General features: G+C 59.7%; 1 protein-coding gene across 1 annotated transcript in view, besides 9 other annotated features; it reads left to right on the top strand.

The window, feature by feature from the left end:
- The window catches only part of TTC34 (tetratricopeptide repeat domain 34), a 164,708-nt gene that overhangs the window by 130,601 nt on the left and 6,864 nt on the right, over positions 1–27,243 (top strand). The window contains exons 7-8 of the mRNA NM_001242672.3: positions 25,530–25,800; positions 26,615–26,829. Coding sequence (NP_001229601.2) covers positions 25,530–25,800; positions 26,615–26,829 — 486 coding nt within the window. The remainder of the gene's footprint in view (positions 1–25,529; positions 25,801–26,614; positions 26,830–27,243) is intronic.
- Positions 12–748: an enhancer, noted in NCBI's record as "OCT4-H3K4me1 hESC enhancer chr1:2601784-2602520 (GRCh37/hg19 assembly coordinates)". NCBI's record gives its function as "activates a minimal SCP1, AML or CMV promoter by ChIP-STARR-seq in naive and primed H9 embryonic stem cells {active_cell/tissue: H9 hESC(naive and primed)}" and the evidence as "EXISTENCE:reporter gene assay evidence [ECO:0000049][PMID:30033119]".
- Positions 1,431–1,932: an enhancer, noted in NCBI's record as "OCT4 hESC enhancer chr1:2600600-2601101 (GRCh37/hg19 assembly coordinates)". NCBI's record gives its function as "activates a minimal SCP1, AML or CMV promoter by ChIP-STARR-seq in primed H9 embryonic stem cells {active_cell/tissue: H9 hESC(primed)}" and the evidence as "EXISTENCE:reporter gene assay evidence [ECO:0000049][PMID:30033119]".
- Positions 4,101–4,601: an enhancer, noted in NCBI's record as "OCT4-H3K4me1 hESC enhancer chr1:2597931-2598431 (GRCh37/hg19 assembly coordinates)". NCBI's record gives its function as "activates a minimal SCP1, AML or CMV promoter by ChIP-STARR-seq in naive and primed H9 embryonic stem cells {active_cell/tissue: H9 hESC(naive and primed)}" and the evidence as "EXISTENCE:reporter gene assay evidence [ECO:0000049][PMID:30033119]".
- Positions 4,602–5,102: an enhancer, noted in NCBI's record as "OCT4-H3K4me1 hESC enhancer chr1:2597430-2597930 (GRCh37/hg19 assembly coordinates)". NCBI's record gives its function as "activates a minimal SCP1, AML or CMV promoter by ChIP-STARR-seq in naive H9 embryonic stem cells {active_cell/tissue: H9 hESC(naive)}" and the evidence as "EXISTENCE:reporter gene assay evidence [ECO:0000049][PMID:30033119]".
- Positions 12,106–12,617: an enhancer, noted in NCBI's record as "OCT4-H3K4me1 hESC enhancer chr1:2589915-2590426 (GRCh37/hg19 assembly coordinates)". NCBI's record gives its function as "activates a minimal SCP1, AML or CMV promoter by ChIP-STARR-seq in primed H9 embryonic stem cells {active_cell/tissue: H9 hESC(primed)}" and the evidence as "EXISTENCE:reporter gene assay evidence [ECO:0000049][PMID:30033119]".
- Positions 13,130–13,641: an enhancer, noted in NCBI's record as "OCT4-H3K4me1 hESC enhancer chr1:2588891-2589402 (GRCh37/hg19 assembly coordinates)". NCBI's record gives its function as "activates a minimal SCP1, AML or CMV promoter by ChIP-STARR-seq in primed H9 embryonic stem cells {active_cell/tissue: H9 hESC(primed)}" and the evidence as "EXISTENCE:reporter gene assay evidence [ECO:0000049][PMID:30033119]".
- Positions 13,763–14,654: an enhancer, noted in NCBI's record as "OCT4 hESC enhancer chr1:2587878-2588769 (GRCh37/hg19 assembly coordinates)". NCBI's record gives its function as "activates a minimal SCP1, AML or CMV promoter by ChIP-STARR-seq in naive H9 embryonic stem cells {active_cell/tissue: H9 hESC(naive)}" and the evidence as "EXISTENCE:reporter gene assay evidence [ECO:0000049][PMID:30033119]".
- Positions 14,689–14,983: a silencer, noted in NCBI's record as "tiled region #15700; K562 Repressive non-DNase unmatched - State 25:Art". NCBI's record gives its function as "represses a minimal TATA promoter and a strong SV40 promoter by Sharpr-MPRA in K562 cells {active_cell/tissue: K562}" and the evidence as "EXISTENCE:reporter gene assay evidence [ECO:0000049][PMID:27701403]".
- Positions 15,545–16,049: an enhancer, noted in NCBI's record as "OCT4-H3K4me1 hESC enhancer chr1:2586483-2586987 (GRCh37/hg19 assembly coordinates)". NCBI's record gives its function as "activates a minimal SCP1, AML or CMV promoter by ChIP-STARR-seq in naive and primed H9 embryonic stem cells {active_cell/tissue: H9 hESC(naive and primed)}" and the evidence as "EXISTENCE:reporter gene assay evidence [ECO:0000049][PMID:30033119]".

Raw genomic sequence — 27,243 nt, 5'->3', positions numbered from 1 at the left:
CAGGCTGTCAGATGCTCGCCTGGGGGTGTGGGTGCTCTTCCAGGCTGTCACATGCTCACCTGGGGGTGTGGGTGCTGCTCCAGGCTGTCGGATGCTCACCTGGGGGTGTGGGGTGCTGCTCCAGGCTGTCCGATGCTCGCCTGGGGGTGTGGGTGCCGTTCCAGGCCGTCAGATGCTCGCCTTGGGGTGTGGGTGCTCTTCCAGGCTGTCACGTGCGCACCTGGGGGTGCAGGGTGCTGTTGCAGGCTGTCAGATGCTCACCTGGGGGTGTGGGTGCTGTTACATGCTGTCAGATGCTCACCTGTGGGTGTGGGTGCTGTTCCAGGCTGTCAGATGCTCACCTGGGGTTGCGCGTGCTGTTCCAGGCTGTCAGAGGCTCACCTGGGCGTGTGGGTGCTGTTCCAGTCTGTCAGATGCTTACCTGAGGGTATGGTTGCTGTTCCAGGCTGTCAGATGCTCACCCGGTGATGTGGGGTGCTCTTCCAGGCTGTCAGATTCTCACCTGGGGTTGTGGGTGCTGTTCCAGGCTCTCAGATGCTCACCTGGGGTTGTCGGTGCTGCTCCAGGATGTCAGATGCTCCCCTGGGGGTGTGGGTGCTGCTACGGGCTGTCAGATTCTCACCTGTGCGTGTGGTTGCTGCTGCGGGCTGTCAGATGCTCACCTGGGGTTGTGGGTGCTGTTCCAGGCTGTCAGATGCTCGCATGGGGTTGTGGGTGCTGCTCTGTTCGGTCAGATGCTCGCCTGGGGGCGTGGGTGCTGCTCCATGGGTTCAGATGCTCGCCTGGAGGTATGGGTCCTGCTCCGGGAGGTCAGATGCTCACCTCGGGGTGTGGGTGCTGCTCCAGGTTGTCAGATGCTCACCTTGGGTTGTGGGTGCTGCTCCAGACTCTCCGATGCTCACCTGTGGTTGTGTGTGATGCTCCAGAACATCAGATTCTCACCTGGGGGTGTGGGTGCTGTTCCAGGCTGTCAGATGCTCACCTGTGGGTGTGGGGTGCTGCTCGACGATGTCAGAGGCTCACCTGGGGATGTGGGTGCTGTTCCAGGCTGTCAGATGCTCACCTGGGGGTGTGGGTGCTGCTCCAGGCTGTCAGATGCTCACCTGTGGGTGTGGGGTGCTGCTCCACGATGTCAGATGCTCACCTGGGGGTGTGGGCACTGCTCCAGGCTGTCAGATGCTCGCCTGGGTGTGTGGGCACTGCTCCTGACTCTCCGATGCTCACCTGTGGTTGTGGGTGCTGCTCCAGACCATCAGATGCTCACCTGGGTGTGTGGGTGCTGCTCCAGGTTGTCAGGTGCTCACCATGGGCTATGGGTGCTGCTCCCTGTTGTCAGATGCTCACCTCGGGGTGTGGGCACTGCTCCGGGCTGTCAGATGCTCGCCTGTGGCTGTGGGCGCTGCTCCAGACTCTACGATGCTCACCTGTGGTTGTGGGTGCTGCTCCAGACAATCAGATGCTCACTTGGGGTTGTGGGTGCTGCTCCAGGTCATCGGATGCTCGCCTGGGAGTGTGGTTGCTGCTCCAGGCTGTCGGATGCTCACCTGGGGGTGCAGGGTGCTGTTCCAGGCTGTCAGATGCTCACCTGGGGGTGTGGGTGCTGCTCCAGGCTGTCAGATGCTCACCTGTGGGTGTGGGGTGCTGCTCCACGATGTCAGATGCTCACCTGGGGGTGTGGGTGCTGTTCCAGGCCGTCAGATGCTCACCTGGGGGTGTGGGTGCCGACCCAGGCTGTCAGATGCTCGCCTGTTGGTGTGGGTTCTGCTGCAGGCTGCCGGATGCTCTCCTGGGGGTGTGGGTGCTGTTCCAGGCTATCAGATGCTCGCCTGGGGGTGTGGGTGCTGTTCCAGGCTGTCAGATGCTCACCTCGGGGTGCGCGTGCTGTTCCAAGCTGTCAGAGGCACACCTGGGCCTGTGGGTGCTGTTCCAGTCTGTCAGGTGCTCACCTGGGGGAGTGGGTGCTGTTCCAGGCTGTCAGATGCTCACCCGGGGATATGGGGTGCTCTTCCAGGCTGTCAGATTCTCACCTGGGGGTGCGGGAGCTGTTCCAGGCTCTCAGATGCTCACCTGGTGTTGTCGGTGCAGCTCCAGGATTTCAGATGCTCCCCTGGGGGTGTGGGTGCTGCTCCATGCGGTCAGATGCTCCCCTGGGGGTGTGGGTGCTGCTCCGGGCTGTCAGATTCTCACCTGTGCGTGTGGGTGCTGCTGCGGGCTGTCAGATGCTCACCTGGGGTTGTGGGTGCTGTTAAAGGCTGTCAGATGCTCGCCTGGGATTGTGGGTGCTGCTCCGTTCGGTCAGATGCTCGCCTGGGGGCGTGTGTGCTGCTCCATGGGTTCAGATGCTCGCCTGGAGGTATGGGTCCTGCTCCGGGAGGACAGATGCTCACCTCGAGGTGTGGGTGCTGCTCCAGGTTGTCAGATGCTCACCTTGGGATGTTGGTGCTGCTCCAGACTCTCCGATGCTCACCTGTGGTTGTGTGTGATGCTCCAGACAATCAGATTCTCACCTGGGGGTGTGGGTGCTGTTCCAGGCTGTCAGATGCTCACCTGGGGGTGTGGGTGCTGCTCCAGGCTGTCAGATGCTCACCTGTGGGTGTGGGGTGCTGCTCCACGATGTCAGATGCTCACCTGTGGGTATGGGTGTTGTTCCAGGCTGTCTGATGCTCACCTGGGGGTGTGGGTGCTGTTCCAGGCCGTCAGATGCTCGCCTGGGGGTGTTGGTGCTGTTCCAGGCTGTCACATGCGCACCTGGTGGTGCAGGCTGTTGTTCCAGGCTGTCAGATGCTCACCTGGGCGTGTGGGTTCTGTTCCAGGCTGTCAGATGCTCACCTGTGGGTGTCGGTGTTGCCGCAAACCATCAGATGCTCACCTGGGGGTGTGGGTGCCGACCCAGGCTCTCAGATGCTCGCCTGTGGCCGTGGGTTCCGCTCCAGGCTGCCGGATGCTCTCCTGGGGGTGTGAGTGCTGTTCCAGGCTGTCAAATGCTCACCTGGGGGTGTGGATGCTGCTCCAGGCTGTCAGATGCTCGCCTGGGGGTGTGGCTGCGGTTCCAGGCTGTCTGATGCTCACCTGTGGGTGTGGGTGCTGCTCCAGACCATCAGATGCGCAACTGGGGGTGAGGATGCCATGTGATGCGGACAGATGCTCACCTGGGGGTGTGGGTGCTGTTCCAGGCTGTCAGATGCTCACCTGGGGGTGCAGGGTGCTGTTCCAGGCTGTCAGATGCTCATCTGGGCGTATGGGTGCTGTTCCAGGTTGTCAGATGCTCGCCTGGGGGTGTGTGTGCTGTTCCAGGCTGTCAGATGCTCACCTGGGGGGGCAGCGTGCTGTACCAGGCTGTCAGATGATCACCTGGGTGTGTGGGTGCTGCTCCAGGCTGTCAGTTGCTCACCTGGGTGTGTGGGTGCTGCTCCAGGCTGTCGGATGCTCGCCTGGGGGTGTGGGTGCTGTTCCAGGCTGTCAGAGGCTCACCTGGGCGTGTGGGTGCTGTTCCAGTCTGTCAGATGCTTACCTGAGGGTATGGTTGCTGTTCCAGGCTGTCAGATGCTCACCCGGTGATGTGGGGTGCTCTTCCAGGCTGTCAGATTCTCACCTGGGGTTGTGGGTGCTGTTCCAGGCTCTCAGATGCTCACCTGGGGTTGTCGGTGCTGCTCCAGGATGTCAGATGCTCCCCTGGGGGTGTGGGTGCTGCTACGGGCTGTCAGATTCTCACCTGTGCGTGTGGTTGCTGCTGCGGGCTGTCAGATGCTCACCTGGGGTTGTGGGTGCTGTTCCAGGCTGACAGATGCTCGCATGGGGTTGTGGGTGCTGCTCTGTTCGGTCAGATGCTCGCCTGGGGGCGTGGGTGCTGCTCCATGGGTTCAGATGCTCGCCTGGAGGTATGGGTCCTGCTCCGGGAGGTCAGATGCTCACCTCGGGGTGTGGGTGCTGCTCCAGGTTGTCAGATGCTCACCTTGGGCTATGGGTGCTGCTCCATGCTGTCAGATGCTCACCTGGGTGTTTGGGCACTGCTCCAGGCTGTCAGATGCTCGCCTGGGGTTGTGGGCGTTGCTCCAGACTCTCTGATGTTCACCTGTGGTTGTGGGTGCTGCTCCAGACCATCAGTTGCTCAACTGGGGGTGTGGGTGCTGCTCCAGGCTGTCGGATGCTCACCTGGGTGTGCAGGGTGCTGTTCCAGGCTGTCAGAGACTCACCTGAGGGTGTGGGTGCAGCTCCAGGCTGTCAGATGCTCACCTGTGCGTGTGGGGTTATGCTCCACGAAGTCAGATGCTCAACTGTGGGTGTGGGTGCTGCTCCAGGTTGTCGGTTGCCCGCCTGGGGTTGTGGGTGCTGCTCCAGGCTGTCCAATGCTCACCTGGGGGTGTGGGTGCTGTTCCAGGCCGTCAGATGCTCGCCTGTGGGTGTCGGTGCTGTTCCAGGCTGTCACGGGCGCACCTGGGGGTGCAGGCTGCTGTTACAGGCTGTCAGAGGCTCACCTGGGCATGTGGGTGCTGTTCCAGTCTGTCACATGCTCACCTGGGGGTGTGGGTTCTGTTCCAGGCTGTCAGATGCTCACCTGTTGGTGTGGGTGCTGCTCCAGACCATCAGATGCGCACCTGCGTGTGTGGTTGCCGACCCAGGCTGTCAGATGCTCGCCTGGGGGTGTGGGTGCTCTTCCAGGCTGTCACATGCTCACCTGGGGGTGTGGGTGCTGCTCCAGGCTGTCGGATGCTCACCTGGGGGTGTGGGGTGCTGCTCCAGGCTGTCCGATGCTCGCCTGGGGGTGTGGGTGCCGTTCCAGGCCGTCAGATGCTCGCCTTGGGGTGTGGGTGCTCTTCCAGGCTGTCACGTGCGCACCTGGGGGTGCAGGGTGCTGTTGCAGGCTGTCAGATGCTCACCTGGGGGTGTGGGTGCTGTTACATGCTGTCAGATGCTCACCTGTGGGTGTGGGTGCTGTTCCAGGCTGTCAGATGCTCACCTGGGTTTGCGCGTGCTGTTCCAGGCTGTCAGAGGCTCACCTGGGCGTGTGGGTGCTGTTCCAGTCTGTCAGATGCTTACCTGAGGGTATGGTTGCTGTTCCAGGCTGTCAGATGCTCACCCGGTGATGTGGGGTGCTCTTCCAGGCTGTCAGATTCTCACCTGGGGTTGTGGGTGCTGTTCCAGGCTCTCATATGCTCACCTGGGGTTGTCGGTGCTGCTCCAGGATGTCAGATGCTCCCCTGGGGGTGTGGGTGCTGCTACGGGCTGTCAGATTCTCACCTGTGCGTGTGGTTGCTGCTGCGGGCTGTCAGATGCTCACCTGGGGTTGTGGGTGCTGTTCCAGGCTGTCAGATGCTCGCATGGGGTTGTGGGTGCTGCTCTGTTCGGTCAGATGCTCGCCTGGGGGCGTGGGTGCTGCTCCATGGGTTCAGATGCTCGCCTGGAGGTATGGGTCCTGCTCCGGGAGGTCAGATGCTCACCTCGGGGTGTGGGTGCTGCTCCAGGTTGTCAGATGCTCACCTTGGGTTGTGGGTGCTGCTCCAGACTCTCCGATGCTCACCTGTGGTTGTGTGTGATGCTCCAGAACATCAGATTCTCACCTGGGGGTGTGGGTGCTGTTCCAGGCTGTCAGATGCTCACCTGTGGGTGTGGGGTGCTGCTCGACGATGTCAGAGGCTCACCTGGGGATGTGGGTGCTGTTCCAGGCTGTCAGATGCTCACCTGGGGGTGTGGGTGCTGCTCCAGGCTGTCAGATGCTCACCTGTGGGTGTGGGGTGCTGCTCCACGATGTCAGATGCTCACCTGGGGGTGTGGGCACTGCTCCAGGCTGTCAGATGCTCGCCTGGGTGTGTGGGCACTGCTCCTGACTCTCCGATGCTCACCTGTGGTTGTGGGTGCTGCTCCAGACCATCAGATGCTCACCTGGGTGTGTGGGTGCTGCTCCAGGTTGTCAGGTGCTCACCATGGGCTATGGGTGCTGCTCCCTGTTGTCAGATGCTCACCTCGGGGTGTGGGCACTGCTCCGGGCTGTCAGATGCTCGCCTGTGGCTGTGGGCGCTGCTCCAGACTCTACGATGCTCACCTGTGGTTGTGGGTGCTGCTCCAGACAATCAGATGCTCACTTGGGGTTGTGGGTGCTGCTCCAGGTCATCGGATGCTCGCCTGGGAGTGTGGTTGCTGCTCCAGGCTGTCGGATGCTCACCTGGGGGTGCAGGGTGCTGTTCCAGGCTGTCAGATGCTCACCTGGGGGTGTGGGTGCTGCTCCAGGCTGTCAGATGCTCACCTGTGGGTGTGGGGTGCTGCTCCACGATGTCAGATGCTCACCTGGGGGTGTGGGTGCTGTTCCAGGCCGTCAGATGCTCACCTGGGGGTGTGGGTGCCGACCCAGGCTGTCAGATGCTCGCCTGTTGGTGTGGGTTCTGCTGCAGGCTGCCGGATGCTCTCCTGGGGGTGTGGGTGCTGTTCCAGGCTATCAGATGCTCGCCTGGGGGTGTGGGTGCTGTTCCAGGCTGTCAGATGCTCACCTCGGGGTGCGCGTGCTGTTCCAAGCTGTCAGAGGCACACCTGGGCCTGTGGGTGCTGTTCCAGTCTGTCAGGTGCTCACCTGGGGGAGTGGGTGCTGTTCCAGGCTGTCAGATGCTCACCCGGGGATATGGGGTGCTCTTCCAGGCTGTCAGATTCTCACCTGGGGGTGCGGGAGCTGTTCCAGGCTCTCAGATGCTCACCTGGTGTTGTCGGTGCAGCTCCAGGATTTCAGATGCTCCCCTGGGGGTGTGGGTGCTGCTCCATGCGGTCAGATGCTCCCCTGGGGGTGTGGGTGCTGCTCCGGGCTGTCAGATTCTCACCTGTGCGTGTGGGTGCTGCTGCGGGCTGTCAGATGCTCACCTGGGGTTGTGGGTGCTGTTAAAGGCTGTCAGATGCTCGCCTGGGATTGTGGGTGCTGCTCCGTTCGGTCAGATGCTCGCCTGGGGGCGTGTGTGCTGCTCCATGGGTTCAGATGCTCGCCTGGAGGTATGGGTCCTGCTCCGGGAGGACAGATGCTCACCTCGAGGTGTGGGTGCTGCTCCAGGTTGTCAGATGCTCACCTTGGGATGTTGGTGCTGCTCCAGACTCTCCGATGCTCACCTGTGGTTGTGTGTGATGCTCCAGACAATCAGATTCTCACCTGGGGGTGTGGGTGCTGTTCCAGGCTGTCAGATGCTCACCTGGGGGTGTGGGTGCTGCTCCAGGCTGTCAGATGCTCACCTGTGGGTGTGGGGTGCTGCTCCACGATGTCAGATGCTCACCTGTGGGTATGGGTGTTGTTCCAGGCTGTCTGATGCTCACCTGGGGGTGTGGGTGCTGTTCCAGGCCGTCAGATGCTCGCCTGGGGGTGTTGGTGCTGTTCCAGGCTGTCACATGCGCACCTGGTGGTGCAGGCTGTTGTTCCAGGCTGTCAGATGCTCACCTGGGCGTGTGGGTTCTGTTCCAGGCTGTCAGATGCTCACCTGTGGGTGTCGGTGTTGCCGCAAACCATCAGATGCTCACCTGGGGGTGTGGGTGCCGACCCAGGCTCTCAGATGCTCGCCTGTGGCCGTGGGTTCCGCTCCAGGCTGCCGGATGCTCTCCTGGGGGTGTGAGTGCTGTTCCAGGCTGTCAAATGCTCACCTGGGGGTGTGGATGCTGCTCCAGGCTGTCAGATGCTCGCCTGGGGGTGTGGCTGCGGTTCCAGGCTGTCTGATGCTCACCTGTGGGTGTGGGTGCTGCTCCAGACCATCAGATGCGCAACTGGGGGTGAGGATGCCATGTGATGCGGACAGATGCTCACCTGGGGGTGTGGGTGCTGTTCCAGGCTGTCAGATGCTCACCTGGGGGTGCAGGGTGCTGTTCCAGGCTGTCAGATGCTCATCTGGGCGTATGGGTGCTGTTCCAGGTTGTCAGATGCTCGCCTGGGGGTGTGTGTGCTGTTCCAGGCTGTCAGATGCTCACCTGGGGGGGCAGCGTGCTGTACCAGGCTGTCAGATGATCACCTGGGTGTGTGGGTGCTGCTCCAGGCTGTCAGTTGCTCACCTGGGTGTGTGGGTGCTGCTCCAGGCTGTCGGATGCTCGCCTGGGGGTGTGGGTGCTGTTCCAGGCTGTCAGAGGCTCACCTGGGCGTGTGGGTGCTGTTCCAGTCTGTCAGATGCTTACCTGAGGGTATGGTTGCTGTTCCAGGCTGTCAGATGCTCACCCGGTGATGTGGGGTGCTCTTCCAGGCTGTCAGATTCTCACCTGGGGTTGTGGGTGCTGTTCCAGGCTCTCAGATGCTCACCTGGGGTTGTCGGTGCTGCTCCAGGATGTCAGATGCTCCCCTGGGGGTGTGGGTGCTGCTACGGGCTGTCAGATTCTCACCTGTGCGTGTGGTTGCTGCTGCGGGCTGTCAGATGCTCACCTGGGGTTGTGGGTGCTGTTCCAGGCTGACAGATGCTCGCATGGGGTTGTGGGTGCTGCTCTGTTCGGTCAGATGCTCGCCTGGGGGCGTGGGTGCTGCTCCATGGGTTCAGATGCTCGCCTGGAGGTATGGGTCCTGCTCCGGGAGGTCAGATGCTCACCTCGGGGTGTGGGTGCTGCTCCAGGTTGTCAGATGCTCACCTTGGGCTATGGGTGCTGCTCCATGCTGTCAGATGCTCACCTGGGTGTTTGGGCACTGCTCCAGGCTGTCAGATGCTCGCCTGGGGTTGTGGGCGCTGCTCCAGACTCTCTGATGTTCACCTGTGGTTGTGGGTGCTGCTCCAGACCATCAGTTGCTCAACTGGGGGTGTGGGTGCTGCTCCAGGCTGTCGGATGCTCACCTGGGTGTGCAGGGTGCTGTTCCAGGCTGTCAGAGACTCACCTGAGGGTGTGGGTGCAGCTCCAGGCTGTCAGATGCTCACCTGTGCGTGTGGGGTTATGCTCCACGAAGTCAGATGCTCAACTGTGGGTGTGGGTGCTGCTCCAGGTTGTCGGTTGCCCGCCTGGGGTTGTGGGTGCTGCTCCAGGCTGTCCAATGCTCACCTGGGGGTGTGGGTGCTGTTCCAGGCCGTCAGATGCTCGCCTGTGGGTGTCGGTGCTGTTCCAGGCTGTCACGGGCGCACCTGGGGGTGCAGGCTGCTGTTACAGGCTGTCAGAGGCTCACCTGGGCATGTGGGTGCTGTTCCAGTCTGTCACATGCTCACCTGGGGGTGTGGGTTCTGTTCCAGGCTGTCAGATGCTCACCTGTTGGTGTGGGTGCTGCTCCAGACCATCAGATGCGCACCTGCGTGTGTGGTTGCCGACCCAGGCTGTCAGATGCTCGCCTGGGGGTGTGGGTGCTCTTCCAGGCTGTCACATGCTCACCTGGGGGTGTGGGTGCTGCTCCAGGCTGTCGGATGCTCACCTGGGGGTGTGGGGTGCTACTCCAGGCTGTCCGATGCTCGCCTGGGGGTGTGGGTGCCGTTCCAGGCCGTCAGATGCTCGCCTTGGGGTGTGGGTGCTCTTCCAGGCTGTCACGTGCGCACCTGGGGGTGCAGGGTGCTGTTGCAGGCTGTCAGATGCTCACCTGGGGGTGTGGGTGCTGTTACATGCTGTCAGATGCTCACCTGTGGGTGTGGGTGCTGTTCCAGGCTGTCAGATGCTCACCTGGGGTTGCGCGTGCTGTTCCAGGCTGTCAGAGGCTCACCTGGGCGTGTGGGTGCTGTTCCAGTCTGTCAGATGCTTACCTGAGGGTATGGTTGCTGTTCCAGGCTGTCAGATGCTCACCCGGTGATGTGGGGTGCTCTTCCAGGCTGTCAGATTCTCACCTGGGGTTGTGGGTGCTGTTCCAGGCTCTCAGATGCTCACCTGGGGTTGTCGGTGCTGCTCCAGGATGTCAGATGCTCCCCTGGGGGTGTGGGTGCTGCTACGGGCTGTCAGATTCTCACCTGTGCGTGTGGTTGCTGCTGCGGGCTGTCAGATGCTCACCTGGGGTTGTGGGTGCTGTTCCAGGCTGTCAGATGCTCGCATGGGGTTGTGGGTGCTGCTCTGTTCGGTCAGATGCTCGCCTGGGGGCGTGGGTGCTGCTCCATGGGTTCAGATGCTCGCCTGGAGGTATGGGTCCTGCTCCGGGAGGTCAGATGCTCACCTCGGGGTGTGGGTGCTGCTCCAGGTTGTCAGATGCTCACCTTGGGTTGTGGGTGCTGCTCCAGACTCTCCGATGCTCACCTGTGGTTGTGTGTGATGCTCCAGAACATCAGATTCTCACCTGGGGGTGTGGGTGCTGTTCCAGGCTGTCAGATGCTCACCTGTGGGTGTGGGGTGCTGCTCGACGATGTCAGAGGCTCACCTGGGGATGTGGGTGCTGTTCCAGGCTGTCAGATGCTCACCTGGGGGTGTGGGTGCTGCTCCAGTCTGTCAGATGCTCACCTGTGGGTGTGGGGTGCTGCTCCACGATGTCAGATGCTCACCTGGGGGTGTGGGCACTGCTCCAGGCTGTCAGATGCTCGCCTGGGTGTGTGGGCACTGCTCCTGACTCTCCGATGCTCACCTCTGGTTGTGGGTGCTGCTCCAGACCATCAGATGCTCACCTGGGTGTGTGGGTGCTGCTCCAGGTTGTCAGGTGCTCACCATGGGCTATGGGTGCTGCTCCCTGTTGTCAGATGCTCACCTCGGTGTGTGGGCACTGCTCCGGGCTGTCAGATGCTCGCCTGTGGCTGTGGGCGCTGCTCCAGACTCTACGATGCTCACCTGTGGTTGTGGGTGCTGCTCCAGACAATCAGATGCTCACTTGGGGTTGTGGGTGCTGCTCCAGGTCATCGGATGCTCGCCTGGGAGTGTGGTTGCTGCTCCAGGCTGTCGGATGCTCACCTGGGGGTGCAGGGTGCTGTTCCAGGCTGTCAGATGCTCACCTGGGGGTGTGGGTGCTGCTCCAGGCTGTCAGATGCTCACCTGTGGGTGTGGGGTGCTGCTCCACGATGTCAGATGCTCACCTGGGGGTGTGGGTGCTGTTCCAGGCCATCAGATGCCCACCTGGGGGTGTGGGTGCCGACCCAGGCTGTCAGATGCTCGCCTGTTGGTGTGGGTTCTGCTGCAGGCTGCCGGATGCTCTCCTGGGGGTGTGGGTGCTGTTCCAGGCTATCAGATGCTCGCCTGGGGGTGTGGGTGCTGTTCCAGGCTGTCAGATGCTCACCTGGGGGTGCGCGTGCTGTTCCAAGCTGTCAGAGGCACACCTGGGCCTGTGGGTGCTGTTCCAGTCTGTCAGGTGCTCACCTGGGGGAGTGGGTGCTGTTCCAGGCTGTCAGATGCTCACCCGGGGATATGGGGTGCTCTTCCAGGCTGTCAGATTCTCACCTGGGGGTGCGGGAGCTGTTCCAGGCTCTCAGATGCTCACCTGTTGTTGTCGGTGCAGCTCCAGGATTTCAGATGCTCCCCTGGGGGTGTGGGTGCTGCTCCATGCGGTCAGATGCTCCCCTGGGGGTGTGGGTGCTGCTCCGGGCTGTCAGATTCTCACCTGTGCGTGTGGGTGCTGCTGCGGGCTGTCAGATGCTCACCTGGGGTTGTGGGTGCTGTTAAAGGCTGTCAGATGCTCGCCTGGGATTGTGGGTGCTGCTCCGTTCGGTCAGATGCTCGCCTGGGGGCGTGTGTGCTGCTCCATGGGTTCAGATGCTCGCCTGGAGGTATGGGTCCTGCTCCGGGAGGACAGATGCTCACCTCGAGGTGTGGGTGCTGCTCCAGGTTGTCAGATGCTCACCTTGGGATGTTGGTGCTGCTCCAGACTCTCCGATGCTCACCTGTGGTTGTGTGTGATGCTCCAGACAATCAGATTCTCACCTGGGGGTGTGGGTGCTGTTCCAGGCTGTCAGATGCTCACCTGGGGGTGTGGGTGCTGCTCCAGGCTGTCAGATGCTCACCTGTGGGTGTGGGGTGCTGCTCCACGATGTCAGATGCTCACCTGTGGGTATGGGTGTTGTTCCAGGCTGTCTGATGCTCACCTGGGGGTGTGGGTGCTGTTCCAGGCCGTCAGATGCTCGCCTGGGGGTGTTGGTGCTGTTCCAGGCTGTCACATGCGCACCTGGTGGTGCAGGCTGTTGTTCCAGGCTGTCAGATGCTCACCTGGGCGTGTGGGTTCTGTTCCAGGCTGTCAGATGCTCACCTGTGGGTGTCGGTGTTGCCGCAAACCATCAGATGCTCACCTGGGGGTGTGGGTGCCGACCCAGGCTCTCAGATGCTCGCCTGTGGCCGTGGGTTCCGCTCCAGGCTGCCGGATGCTCTCCTGGGGGTGTGAGTGCTGTTCCAGGCTGTCAAATGCTCACCTGGGGGTGTGGATGCTGCTCCAGGCTGTCAGATGCTCGCCTGGGGGTGTGGCTGCGGTTCCAGGCTGTCTGATGCTCACCTGTGGGTGTGGGTGCTGCTCCAGACCATCAGATGCGCAACTGGGGGTGAGGATGCCATGTGATGCGGTCAGATGCTCACCTGGGGGTGTGGGTGCTGTTCCAGGCTGTCAGATGCTCACCTGGGGGTGCAGGGTGCTGTTCCAGGCTGTCAGATGCTCATCTGGGCGTATGGGTGCTGTTCCAGGTTGTCAGATGCTCGCCTGGGGGTGTGTGTGCTGTTCCAGGCTGTCAGATGCTCACCTGGGGGGGCAGCGTGCTGTTCCAGGCTGTCAGATGATCACCTGGGTGTGTGGGTGCTGCTCCAGGCTGTCAGTTGCTCACCTGGGTGTGTGGGTGCTGCTCCAGGCTGTCGGATGCTCGCCTGGGGGTTTGGGTGCTGCTCCGTGTGTTCAGATGCTCGCCTGGGGGCGTGGGTGCTGCTCCAGGTTGTCAGATGCTCACCTTGGGCTGTGGGTGCTGCTCCACGCTGTCAGATGCTCACCTGGGGGTGTGGGCACTGCTCCAGGCTGTCAGATGCTCGCCTGGGTGTGTGGGCACTGCTCCTGACTCTCCGATGCTCACCTGTGGTTGTGGGTGCTGCTCCAGATCATCAGATGCTCACCTGGGGGTGTGGGTGCTGCTCCAGGTTGTCAGATGCTCACCATGGGCTATGGGTGCTGCTCCCTGTTGTCAGATGCTCACCGGGAGGTGTGGTCACTGCTCCGGGCTGTCAGATGCTCGCGTGGGGCTGTGGGCGCTGCTCCAGACTCTACGATGCTCACCTGTGGTTGTGGGTGCTGCTCCAGACAATCAGATGCTCACTTGGGGTTGTGGGTGCTGCTCCAGGTTATCGGATGCTGGCCTGGGAGTGGTGGGTGCTGCTCCAGGCTGTCGGATGCTCACCTGGGGGTGCAGGGTGCTGTTCCAGGCTGTCAGATGCTCACCTGGGGGTGTGGGTGCTGCTCCAGGCTGTCAGATGCTCACCTGTGGGTGTGGGGTGCGGCTCCACGATGTCAGATGCTCACCTGGGGGTGTGGGTGCTGTTCCAGGCCGTCAGATGCTCACCTGAGGGTGTGGGTGCCGACCCAGGCTGTCAGATGCTCGCCTGTTGGTGTGGGTTCTGCTGCAGGCTGCCGGATGCTCTCCTGGGGGTGTGGGTGCTGCTCCATGCGGTCAGATGCTCCCCTGGGGGTGTGGGTGCTGCTCTGGGCTGTCAGATTCTCACTTGTGCTTGTGGGTGCTACTGCGGGCTGTCAGATGCTCACCTGGAGTTCTGGGTGCTGTTTCATGCTGTCAGATGCTCGCCTGGGGTTGTGGGTGCTGCTCCGTTCGGTCAGATGCTCGCCTGGGGGCGTGGGTGCTGCTCCATGAGTTCAGATGCTCGCCTGGGGGTACTGGTACTGCTCCGGGAGGTCAGATGCTCACCTCGGGGTGTGGGTGCTGCTCCAAGTTGTCAGATGCTCACCTTGGGCTATGGGTGCTGCTCCATGCTGTCAGATGCTCACCTGGGTGTTTGGGCACGGCTCCAGGCTGTCAGATGCTCGCCTGGGGTTGTGGGCGCTGCTCCAGACTCTCTGATGTTCACCTGTGGTTGTGGGTGCTGCTCCAGACCATCAGATGCTCAACTGGGGGTGTGGGTGCTGCTCCAGGCTGTCGGATGCTCACCTGGGTGTGCAGGGTGCTGTTCCAGGCTGTCAGAGACTCACCTGAGGGTGTGGGTGCAGCTCCAGGCTGTCAGATGCTCACCTGTGCGTGTGGGGTTATGCTCCACGAAGTCAGATGCTCAACTGTGGGTGTGGGTGCTGCTCCAGGTTGTCGGTTGCCCGCCTGGGGTTGTGGGTGCTGCTCCAGGCTGTCCAATGCTCACCTGGGGGTGTGGGTGCTGTTCCAGGCCGTCAGATGCTCGCCTGTGGGTGTCGGTGCTGTTCCAGGCTGTCACGGGCGCACCTGGGGGTGCAGGCTGCTGTTACAGGCTGTCAGAGGCTCACCTGGGCATGTGGGTGCTGTTCCAGTCTGTCACATGCTCACCTGGGGGTGTGGGTTCTGTTCCAGGCTGTCAGATGCTCACCTGTTGGTGTGGGTGCTGCTCCAGACCATCAGATGCGCACCTGCGTGTGTGGTTGCCGACCCAGGCTGTCAGATGCTCGCCTGGGGGTGTGGGTGCTCTTCCAGGCTGTCACATGCTCACCTGGGGGTGTGGGTGCTGCTCCAGGCTGTCGGATGCTCACCTGGGGGTGTGGGGTGCTACTCCAGGCTGTCCGATGCTCGCCTGGGGGTGTGGGTGCCGTTCCAGGCCGTCAGATGCTCGCCTTGGGGTGTGGGTGCTCTTCCAGGCTGTCACGTGCGCACCTGGGGGTGCAGGGTGCTGTTGCAGGCTGTCAGATGCTCACCTGGGGGTGTGGGTGCTGTTACATGCTGTCAGATGCTCACCTGTGGGTGTGGGTGCTGTTCCAGGCTGTCAGATGCTCACCTGGGGGTGTGAGTGCTGTTGCATGCTGTCAGATGCTCGCCTGGGGGTGTGGGTGCTCTTCCAGGCTTTCAGATGCTCACCTGGGTGTGTGTGTGCTGTTCCAGGCTGTCAGATGCTCACCTGGGTGTGCAGGGTGCTGTTCCAGGCTGTCAGAGGCTCACCTGGGCATGTGGGTGCTGTTCCAGTCTGTCAGATGCTCACCTGGGGCTGTGGGTTCTGTTCCAGGCTCTCAGATGCTCACCTCTGTGTGTGGGTGCTGCTCCAGACCATCAGATGCGCACCTGGGGGTGTGGGTGCTGCTCCAGGCTGTCGGATGCTCGCCGGGAGGTGTGGGTGCTGCTCCGTGCGTTCAGATGCTCGCCTGGGGGTGTGGGTGCTGCTCCTGGTTGTCAGATGCTCACCTTGGGCTGTGGGTGCTGCTCCACGCTGTCAGATGCTCACCTGGGGGTTTGGGCACTGCTCCAGGCTGTCAGATGCTCGCCTGGGGGTGTGGGCGCTGCTCCAGACTCTCCGATGTTCACCTGTGGTTGTGGGTGCTGCTCCAGACCATCAGATGCTCACCTGGGTGTGTGGGTGCCGTTCCAGGCTGTCAGATGCTCGCGTGGGGGTGTGGGTGCTGCTCCAGGCTTTTGGATGCTCACCTGGGGGTGCAGGGTGCTGTTCCAGGCTGTCAGATGCTCACCTGGGGGTGTGGTTGCTGCTCCAGGCTGTCAGATGCTCACTTGGGGGTGCAGCGTGCTGTTCCAGGCTGTCAGATGCTAACCTGGGGTTGTGAGAGCTGTTGCAGGCTGTCAGATGCTCACTGGGGGTGTGCGTGCTGCTCCAGCCTGTCAGATGCTCACCTGGGGGTGTGGGTGCTGTTCCAGGATATCAGATGCTCACCTGGGGGTGTGGGTGCTGCTCCAGGCTGTCGGATGCTCACCTGGGGGTGTCGGTGCTGTTCCAGGCTGTTGGATGCTCACCTGGGGGTGTGGTTGCTGCTCCAGGCTGTCAGGTGCTCACTTGGGGGTGCAGCGTGCTGTTCCGGGCTGTCAGATGCTCACCTGGGGTTGTGAGAGCTGTTGCAGGCTGTCAGATGCTCACTGGGGGTGTGCGTGCTGCTCCAGCCTGTCAGATGCTCACCTGGGGGTGTGGGTGCTGTTCCAGGATATCAGATGCTCACCTGGGGGTGTGGGTGCTGCTCCAGGCTGTCGGATGCTCACCTGGGGGTGTCGGTGCTGTTCCAGGCTGTTGGATGCTCACCTGGGGGTGTGGTTGCTGCTCCAGGCTGTCAGGTGCTCACTTGGGGGTGCAGCGTGCTGTTCCGGGCTGTCAGATGCTCACCTGGGGTTGTGAGAGCTGTTCCAGGCTGTCAGATGCTCACCTGGGGGTGTGGGTGCTGTTCCAGGCTGTCAGATGCTCACCTGTTGGTGTGGGTGCTGCTTCAGGCTGTCAGATGCTCACCTGGAGTGTGGGTGCTGCTCCAGGCTGTCTGATCCTCACTCGCGGGTGCAGGGTTCTGTTCCAGGCTGTCAGATGCTTGCCTGGGGGTGTGGTTGCTGTTCCAGGCTGTCAGATGCTCGCCCCGGGGTGTGGTTGCTGTTCCAGGCTGTCAGATGCTCACCTAGGGGTGTGGGTGCTGCTCCAGGCTGTCCGATGCTCACCTGGAGGTGAGGATGCCATTCCTTGCGGTCAGATACTCACCTGGGGGTGTGGGTGCTGCTCCAGGCTGTCGGATGCTCACCTGGGGGTGTGGGAGCTGTTTCAGGATGTCGGATGCTCACCTGGGGGTGTGGGTGCCGTTCCAGGCCGTCAGATGCTCGCCTGGGGGTGTGGATGCTGTTCCAGGCTGTCAGGTGCGCACCTGGGGGTGCAGGGTGCTTTTCCAGGCCGTCTGATTCTCATCTGGGCGTATGGGTGCTGTTCCAGGCTGTCAGATGCTCGCCTGGGTGTGTGGGTGCTGTTCCAGACTGTCAGATGCTCACCTGGGGGTGCAGGGTCCTGTTCCAGGCTGTCAGATGCTCATCTGAGCGTATGGGTGCTGTTCCAGACTGTCAGATGCTCACCTGGGGGTGCAGGGTGCTTTTCCAGGCTGTCAGATGCTCACCTGGTGGTGTGGGTGCTGCTCCAGGCTGTCAGATGCTCACCTGGGTGTGTGGGTGCTGCTCCAGGCTGTCGGATGCTCGCCTGGGGGTGTGGGTGCTGCTCCGTGCGTTCAGATGCTCGCCTGGGGGTGTGGGTGCTGCTCCAGGTTGTCAGATGCTCACCTTGGGCTGTGGGTGCTGCTCCACGCTGTCAGATGCTCACCTGGTGGTGTGGGCACTGCTCCAGGCTGTCAGATGCTCGCCTGGGGGTGTGGGCACTGCTCCAGACTCTCCGATGCTCACCTGTGGTTGTGGGTGCTGCTCCAGACCATCAGATGCTCACCTGGGGGTGTGGGTGCTGCTCCAGGCTGTCGGATGCTCACCTGTGGGTGTGGGTGCTGCTCCAGACCATCAGATGCTCACCTTGGGCTGTGGGTGCTGCTCCATGCTGTCAGATGCTCACCTGGGGGTGTGGGCACTGCTCCAGGCTGTCAGATGCTCGCCTGGGGGTGTGGGCGCTGCTCCAGACTCTCCGATGCTCACTTGTGGTTGTGGGTGCTGCTCCAGACCATCAGATGCTCACCTGGGGGTGTGGGTGCTGTTCCAGGCTGTCAGATGCTCGCCTGGGGGTGTGGATGCTGCTCCAGGCTGTCAGATGCTCACTTGTGGGTGTAGGGTGCTGCTCCACGATGTCAGATGCTCACCTGCGGGTGTGGGTGCTATTCCTGGCCGTCAGATACTCACCTGGGGGTGTGGGTGCTGTTCCAGGCCATCAGATGCTCGCCTGGGGGTGTGGGTGCTGTTCCAGGCTGTCACGTGCACACCTGGGGGTGCAGGCTGGTGTTCCAGGCTGTCAGATGCTCACCTGGGGGTGTGGGTGCTGTTACATGCTGTCAGATGCTCGCCTGGGGGTGTGGGTGCTGTTCCAGGCTGTCAGATGCTCACCTGGGGGTGTGTGTGCTGTTCCAGGCTGTCAGATGCTCACCTGGGGGTGCAGGGTGCTGTTCCAGGTTGTCAGAGGCTCACCTGGGCATGTGGGTGCTGTTCCAGTCTGTCAGATGTTCACCTGGGGGTGTGGGTTCTGTTCCAGGCTGTCAGATGCTCACCTGTGGGTGTGGGTGCTGCTCCAGACCATCAGATGCGCACCTGGGGGTGTGGGTGCTGCTCCAGGCTGTCGGATGCTCCCCTAGGGGTTTTGGTGCTGCTCCGTGCGTTCAGATACTCGCCTGGGGGTGTGGTTGCTGCTCCAGGTTGTCAGATGCTCACCTTGGGCTGTGGGTGCTGCTCCACGCTGTCACATGCTCACCTGGGGGTGTGGGCACTGCTCCAGGCTGTCAGATGCTCGCCTGGGGGTGTGGGCGCTGCTCCAGACTCTCCGATGCTCACCTTTGGTTGTGGGTGCTGCTCCAGACCATCAGATGCTCACCTGGGGGTGTGGGTGCCATTCCAGGCTGTCAGATGCTCGTCTGGGGGTGTGGTTGCTGCTCCAGGCTGTCGGATGCTCACCTGGGGGTGCAGGGTGCTGTTCCAGTCTGTCAGATGCTCACCTGGGGGTGTGGGTGCTCCTCCAGGCTGTCAGATGCTCACCTGTGGGTGTGGGCTGCTGCTCCACGATGTCAGGTTCTCACCTGGGGGTGTGGATGCTGCTCCAGGCTGTCGGATGCTCGCCTGGGCTTCTGGGTGCTGCTCCAGGCTGTCCAATGCTCACCTGGGGGTGTGGGTGCTGCTCCAGGCTTTCCAATGCTCGCCTGGAGGTGTGGGTGCTGTTGCAGGCCGTCAGATGCTCGCCTGGGGGTGTGGGTTCTGCTCCAGGCTGTCGGATGCTCACCTGGGGGTGTGGGTGCTGTTCCAGGCTGTCAGATGCTCACTGGGGGTGTGCGTGCTGCTCCAGGCTGTCAGATGCTCACCTGGGGGTGTGCGTGCTGTTCCAGGATATCAGATGCTCACCTGGGGGTGTGGGTGCTGCTCCAGGCTGTCGGATGCTCACCTGGGGGTGTGGGTGCTGTTCCAGGCTGTCGGATGCTCACCTGGGGGTGTGGGTGCTGTTCCAGGCCGTCAGATGCTCACTTGGGGGTGCAGGGTGCTGTTCCAGTCTGTCAGATGCTCACCTGGGGGTGTGGGTTGTGTTCCAGGCTGTCGGATGCTCACCTGGGGGTGCAGGGTGCTGTTCCAGTCTGTCAGATGCTCACCTGGGGGTGTGGGTGCTCCTCCAGGCTGTCAGATGCTCACCTGTGGGTGTGGGCTGCTGCTCCACGATGTCAGGTGCTCACCTGGGGTATGGATGCTGCTCCAGACCATCAGATGCTCACTTAGAGGTGGAAGGTGCTGCTTCAGGCTGTCAGATGCTCCCCTGAGTGCAGGGTGCCAACTTAGTTTCTCAGCTGCTCACCCAAAATCGTGAGTTGTTGTTTGAGTCCATCAGAGGCTCACCTAATTGGTGGTACCGTTCCAGGCTGTCCGATGATCACCTGGTGGTGGAGGGTGTTTTTCCGGCTGTCAGATGCTCATCTGAGGGTGGAGGGTGCTGTTCTAGGTTGTCAGATAATCACCTGAAGGTTGGAGAGGGGTGGTGCTGTAGGGTTTCAGATGCTCACCTGGGTGTGGGGGTGACTTCCCAGGCTGTCAGATGCCCTCCTGGTATGCAGGGTGATGTTCCAAGCTGTCAGATACTCACCAGGGGGTGTGGGGTGCTGTTCCAGGCTCTCAGACACTCAGCTGAAGATTGAAGTGCTGATCCAGGCTGTCAGATTCTCACCTAAGTGTGGTGGTGCCATTCTAGGCTGTCAGATGCTCACCTGGGTGTGTGGGGTGGCGTCCTTGGCTGTCAGATGCTTACCTGCGTGTGTGGGGTTGTGTTTCGGATTGTCACAAGTTCACCTGGGGCTGGAGAATGCTGCTCCAGTCTGTCCCATACTCATCTATGGGTTTGGGTGCCATTCAATGCTGTCAGATGCTCACCTGCCGGTGTGGAGTTCTATTCCAGGTTGTCAGATCCTCACCTGGGATTGGAGAATGCTGTTTCAGGCTGTCACACATTCACCTCGGGGTGTGAGTGCCGTTCCAGGCAGTCAGATGCTCACCTTGGCCTGTGAGGTGCAGTTTTAGGCTGTGAAGTGCTCACCTGGTGCTGGAGGGTACTGTCCCAGGCTGCAAAGTTGCTCACCTGGGGGTTTGGGGTGCCGTTCCAGGCTTTCTGATGCTTACCTGGGGGTGTGACATACCGTTCTAGGCTGTCAGATGCCCCCCCGAAGGCGTGGAGTGCTGTTTCAGGCTATCAGATGCTTATTGGGGGTTTGGGGTGCCATTTGGATGGTGTGATGCTCACCTGGGGGGTTGGGGTGTCATTTAGGGCTGTCAGATGCTCACCTGGGGGTGTGGGTGCTGTTGCAGCCTGTCAGCTGCTCACCTGTGGTGTGGGTCTGGTTTCAGGCTGTCAGAGGCTCACCTGGGGGTGTCAAGTGCTGTTTCCTGCTGTCAGATGCTCACCTTGCATGGGGGAGAGCTGATCCAGGGTTTCAGATGCTCACCTGGGGGTCAGGGTGACATTCTACGTTGTCAGAGTCTCATCTGTGGGTGTGAGGTGCTGTTCCCGACTGTCAGATGCTCACCTGGGGGTGTGGGGTGCTGTTGCAGGCTCTCAGACACTCACCTGAAGGTCGAAGTGCTGATCCAGGCTGTCAGATTCTCACCTCAGGGTAGTAGTGCCATTCTTGGCTATCAGATGATCCCCTGGGGGTGGAGGGTGCTGTTTTCGGCTATCACATGCTCACCTGGGGTAGTGGGGTCCTGTTCCAGATTGTCACAAGCTCACCTGGGGTTGGAGAATGCTGTTCCAGGCTGTCACACACTCACCTGTGGGTGTGAGGTGCTGTTCCAGGCTGTCAGATGCTCACCTGGGGATGTAGAGTGCCATTCCAGGCTGTCAGATGCTCACCTGAGGGTGTAGAGTGCCATTCCAGGCTGTCAGATGCTCACCTGAGGGTGTGGGGTGCCATTCCAGGCTGTCAGAAGCTCACCTGGGGATGTAGAGTGCCATTCCAGGCTGTCAGATGCTCACCTGAGGGTGTAGAGTGCCATTCCAGGCTGTCAGAAGCTCACCTGAGGGTGTAGAGTGCCATTCCAGGCTGTCAGAAGCTCACCTGAGGGTGTAGAGTACCATTCCAGGCTGTCAGATGTTCACCTGGGGATGCAGAGTGCCATTCCAGGCTGTCAGAGGCTCACCTGGGGATGCAGAGTGCCATTCCAGGCTGTCAGATGCTCACCTGGGGATGCAGAGTGCCATTCCAGGCTGTCAGAAGCTCACTTGGGGATGCAGAGTGCCATTCCAGGCTGTCAGATGCTCACCTGGGGATGCAGAGTGCCATTCCAGGCTGTCAGAAGCTCACTTGGGGATGCAGAGTGCCATTCCAGGCTGTCAGATGCTCACCTGAGGGTGTGAGGTGCCATTTAAAACTGTCAGATGATCAGCCAGGTGCGATGACTCGTGCTTGTAATCCCAGCACTTTGGGAGGCCGAGGTGGGTGGATCACCAGGAGTTCAAGACCAGCCTGGTCAACATGGTGAAACCCCGTCTCTACTAAAAATACAAAAATCAGCCTGTAGTCGCAGCTACTCAGGAGGCTGAGGCAGGAGAATCGATTAAACCTGGGGGCGGTGGTTGCAGTGAGCCAAGATCGCACCACTGGCCTGTAGCCTGGGCGACAGAGAGAGACTCCATCTCAAAATAAAACAAAACCATCAGATGCTCACCTGAACATGAAGGGTGCTGTTCCAGGCTGTCAAATGCTCACCTTGGGGTGGTGAGTGCTGCTGGAGGGTTTCAGATGCTCACCTGGGTATGGGCACTGCTGTTCCAGGCTGTCAGGTGCTCACCTGAAGGTTTGAGCGTTGATCCAGGCATTCAGATTCTCACCTAACTGGGGGGTGCCGTTCTAGGCTGTCAGATGCTTATGTGGGTTGTCATTCCTGGCTGTCAAATGATCACCTAAGGGTGGAGGGTGCTGTTTTAGGCTGTCAGATGCTCACCTGGGGTTGTGGGGTCCTGTTCCAGATTGTCACAAGCTCACCTGGGGTTGGAGAATGCTGTTCTAGGCTGTCACACACTCATCTGTGGGTGTGGATACCGTTCCAGGCTGTAAGACACTCACCTGGGGGTGTGGGGTGCTGTTTCAGGCTGGAAGATGCTCACCTGGGGGTGGAAGGTGCCGTTCCAGGCTGTAAGATTTTCACCTGTTGGTTGGGGGTGGTGCTATAGGGTTTCAGATGCTCAACTGGGTGTGGGGGTGCATTCCCAGGCTGTCAGATACTCACCTGGGGGTGTGGGGTGCTGTTCCAGGCTGTAAGATGCTCCCCTAGGTGTGTGGGGTGCCATCCTTGGCTGTCAGATGCTCAGCTGGGTGTGTAGGGTTCTGTTTTGGATTGTCGCAAGTTCACCTGGGGCTGGAGAATGCTGCTCCAGTCTGTCCCACACTCACCTGTGAGTGTGGGTGCCATTCCAGGCTGTCAGATGTTCACCTGTGCTCACCTGGGAGTGTGCGGTGCTGTTCCAGGCTGTCAGATGCTCACCTGTGGGTGTGGGGTTCTATTCCAGGCTGTAAGATGCTCCCCTGGGGTGTGGGGTGCTGTTCCAGGCTGTAAGATGCTCCCCTGGGGTGTGGGGTGCTGTTCCAGGCTGTCAGATGCTCACCTGGGGATGTGGGTGCCATTCCAGGCTCCTGACAGCTGTATAAACTGGATATAATGCATGAGCAAATGTTTCCAGGCACCAAACAACAGGCAGCAAAGAGCTGTGACCTGAGAGACAGGAGGCCGCAGAGAGGCTTTTCTGAACATCTTGGGCATTCAGTTGAGACCCCAGAAAGGCCACACCCTAAAATTAAGATTGTACTTTAGGACTAAGTTCAAAAACGAATCCTCCCCTAGCAAAGTACAAGATAAAGCCTGGCAGGGCCAAAATGATCCACCAGTAATCTACCTGCCCCCCAGAGTGAAATCAGCCCCCTTGCAGGACAGCACCACAGCCCTGTCTACCACATGCCAGACACAGAGCCCAGCGCAAAACCAAGAACTGCTAGGCACACAGAGAACCAGGGAAATGGGACCCGTAATAAGAGAAGAAGTACTTCATAGAAACAGACCCTGAGATGGCTTAGAGGTTTGGAATTTACACACAGGGGCTTTTAAAAGCAGTGACATAAACATGTAAAAGAAATGTTTGCTAGAATGAGTGAGCTTGATGGAGAATCCTAGCAGAGGAATATGAAAAAAAAAAAACAGTAATAATCAAGTGGAGATCCTAGATCTGAAACGCAGCATATCTGGAATTAAAAACTTACTAGGCAGGCACAACAGCAGATTGGAAACTGCCAAAGCAGGATTAGTGAACTCAAGTATAGACCAAAGAAAATTATCCAATCTAAGGAAATTATCCAATCTAAGGAAAAGCAGGGAAAACAAAAAACAAAAAACAAAACTCTGTTTCAAACGATGAGAGCTGAGCTGAGCATCATGGCTCACACCTGTAATTCCAGTACTTTGGGAGGGCGAAGTGGCAGCATCACTTGAGCCCAGGAGTTTGAGACCAGCCTGGGCGACAGAGTGAGACTCCCTCTCAAAATAAAAGAAAGAAAAAAAAATTTTCTAGAAGAGATGGAGTCTCACTCTGTCACCTAGGCTGGAGTGCAGTGCCACAATCTCAGCTCACCGCAACCTCCACCTCCTGGGATCAACCAATTCTCCTGCCTTAGCCTCCTGAGTAGCTGGGACTACAGGCACCCACCACTATGCCTGGCTAAGTTTTGTATTTTTATTGTATTTTTAGTAGAGACGGGGTTTCACCATGTTGGCCAGGATGGTCTCGATCTCCTGACCTCTGGATCTGCCCACCTCAGCCTCCCAACATGCTGGGATTACAGGCGTGAGCCACTGCACCTGGCCTCTAAAAAACTTTTAAAAATTAAAAAAATAAATGAAGAAACCTTCAGTGACCGGTGGGACAATTTCAGGCCATCTAGCATACATGTGATTGGACTCCCAGAGAATACGGAGAATGAATGGGACAAATATACACAGGTATTTGAAGAAATAACAGCAGAAAAATTCCCAAGAAGCTCAACAAATCCCAAGAGGAAAAATAGAAAGAGAACCACCCCTAAGAAGGCACATCTTGGTCAAGTTCCTGAAAAAAAAAGATAAAGAGAACATCTTAAAAGCAACCAGAGGGGTGAACAAATGACATACAACAACACGAATGACAGCAGATTTGTCCCAGAAACAATGGAACCCAGAAGACAATGGGACAGCACCTTTAAGGCACTAAAAGAAAAAAGTACCAAGCCAGAATTATCCATCTTGTTAAAATGTCCTTCAGAAACGAGGGTGACATTAAAGACCCGTTAGACAAATGGAAGCTGAGAGATTCGTCATCAGTGAATGACACCACAGCAGATCCTGAGGGAAGGTGGTGAAATTGAAGAGAACTGATGCCTGATAGAAATTCTCTGCTGGAAGAAATGAAAAGCATCTGCAAATACAAAATGATGTATTTATTTCTTCTTTTAATTTCTTTGAACAAAGCTATCTAAATTAAAAACAGGCCAGGTGTGGTAGCTCACACCTGTAATGCCAGTACTTTGGGAGGCCAAGGTGGGAGGATGGCTTGAGACCAGAAGTTCCATACCAGCCTGGGCAATATATCAAGACCCCATTTGTACAAAAAGATTTTAAAATGAGCTGGGTGTGGTGGCATGTGCCTGTGGTCCCAGCTACTCCGGAGGCAGAAGTGGGAGGATCACTTAAGCCCAGGAGCTCAAGGTTGCAGTGAACCAAGATCATGCCACTGCACTCCAGCCTGGGCAACAGACAGAGACCCTGTCTCAAAATATATATATAATTAATTCACTTGAAATAATGCACTATGTGAGGAAATGCATCGCTCAGTGTAGGACAACGATAACACAAAGTATGGGAATAATGGAATTTACTGCTGTGGGGATCTCACATATTAGGTAAAGTGGCCCCATATTAACTGTACATAGACTGTGGTAGGGTGCTCACCTGGGAGCTGGGGGCTTGTTCATAGCTGTAAGGCTACGTATTGTAATCCACAAGGCAATTGCTAGAAAGATAATATAAAGAGGCATAGTTAGGGCCAGGCGCGGTATTGTGCACCAGATGGGCTGGGCACCCTCCTTCCACTGCTTCTGGGAGTTACGGGAGAGCAGTAACTGGGCTTTCTACCCTTCCGGCGTCCCCAAGACCACAGGCACTGGGAGCAGCACCCGGATACCCAAGGAGCTCCAGCGTCCCCCACTGTGAGGTGACAGATGCCCCTGTGGGGAGGGACAGGCGTGGAGGGAGCCAGCTACAAGCTGGGAGAGCGAGGGACCCAGGGAGGGCTCACAGACCGCAGGCAGCCTCAGGAGATGGAAATTAGCAGCGTTTGGCCTCAGAAAAGGGGTTCTGAGCCTGACAACTTTCAGAGTCAAGGTCAGTGAGCTGAGTCCCCTCAAATGCTAACCAGAATCAGGAGGGATGGTAGGAGGCTGCAGCCACAGAGAAGCAGGAAGGGGCAGGAAGCTGGGTGTTCAGACCCTCTAGGACCCCAGGGAGAAGATCAGGGAATGAGAAAGACAGAGCCAGTCCTCCTACTCTGACCCTCTGCCCAGTTTCTCTACTTAGGACAACTCTGCACCCGCCCGCCCTCCCTCCTTGCAGGAAGCCGTGGACGACATCGTCTCTGCTCTGAAGCTCGGCCCCGGGACTGTGGTCCCTGAGCTCCGCTCTCTGAAGCCGGAAGCCCAGGCCCTCATCACACAGGGCCTCTACTCCCACTGCCGGGCCCTTCTGAGCCAGCTGCCAGACACTGGGGCCCCTCTCGAGGACAAGGACACCCAGGGCCTCCTTGCTGTGGGGGAGGCGCTGATCAAAATCGACTCAGGGCAACCGCACTGGCACCTCCTCCTGGCAGACATTCTCATGGCACAGGGTATGCGGCGGCCCCAAGGTGGGAAACACGGGGTCTGGGCTTCTGTCCCCGCTCCTCTGACCTCTGTATCCTGTTCTGTAAAAATGGAAGAAAGAGACCCGGACCACAACAGCTTCCAAGGTCCCTTCCACCCCAAATCCCATGACCTCTGGCCCTGCTCCCTGTGTGAGGCCTGGCGTTCAAAAGGCTCTCCTCTGCTTTACCCGGGTGGCTCTTTGCTTGCAATGGAGGAGAAACCGAGGGGTGATCTTGGTCTTTGAAAGGTCTTGGACCCTCAGCCCCCTCATTCATCCATGCACCTCCAGTCGTTGTTTCTCGGGCACCCACGGGATGGCAGGCCCTGTTCCAGGAGGAACTGTCAGAAGCCCCATGGGCCGACATGCAGGCCCTTCCCGCGGATTTCCACATCCCCCTGGTGATGTGGAAACCACTTCACCACTAATTCCAAAGGGGAGCTCTCTCTGCAGTCTGCATTTGCCCACCAAGGGCTTCAGGGGCCCCAGGGCTGCTCCCCACATGCCACTCTGCGCCAGCAGGCCCAGAGTTTGCCTCTAGTTGCCCGGGAGAGAAAGCAGCCCCTTGTAGTGCCCACGGTGTGGTAGCTCAGCATCATGGAGTGGGGTCAGAGGTGAGTCCCTGTGACCTGCCTGGAATCACGGTGCACCTCTGCTCCCAGCTCCTTCTTCCTGGGCTGAGCCATCATCAGCTCCCCGCAAGCCAGCACAGGGCAGGGAAGGAGCGGCCAGCGAGTCTCAGCTCTCTCGCACCTCTGCCCAACCCCACACACTGACTGTCCCTCCTGAATCCCTGACAGGCAGCTACGAGGAAGCTGGCACCCACCTGGAAAAAGCCCTGCACCGTGCCCCAACGTCAGAGGCAGCCCGGGCCCGGCTGGGCCTGCTCCAGCTCAAGAAGGGAGACGTGCCAGGGGCTGCAAGGGACCTGCAGAGCCTGGCCGAGGTGGATGCCCCGGATCTCAGCTGCCTGCTGCATCTCCTGGAGGCCTCGGAGCGGCAGAGCCTTGCCCAGGTGCCCAAAGAACCCCACAGATCTCCCACCCCAACCTTCCCCAGCACACAGGCATGAGACCCCCGGGCCCACCACTGGGGCAGCCTTTCTTCACTCTCTGCGGTTGGGTTGATTTCAGTTAGGTTTGGGGTGGGGTGGGAGGCACCCACTTCTGGCCCAGGAAGACGGTCTCTGGCCACCTTAGCCCTACAACCCCACCGACCTCTCAGCCTCTTTGTATGGGAAGTATAAGCCACAGGTGACTTGGGTGCAAGAGAGGGAAGAGGACCTTGCCCTCAGGGCCAGACTGAGCCAGCCAGGGGCACCTTGCCCGGCAGGAAGCCCACCCCAAACCCATGGCAGGCCGGGAGAAGGCACGTGGGGACAAGGCAGGCTGGGAGGCCAAGAGCACAGCAGGCTTTGGGGTCCCAGAGG

The sequence above is a fragment of the Homo sapiens genome, chromosome 1 (assembly GCF_000001405.40).
Source record: "Homo sapiens chromosome 1, GRCh38.p14 Primary Assembly".
Lineage (NCBI taxonomy): Eukaryota > Metazoa > Chordata > Mammalia > Primates > Hominidae > Homo > Homo sapiens.
This window is presented reverse-complemented; position numbering and strand designations above follow the sequence as displayed.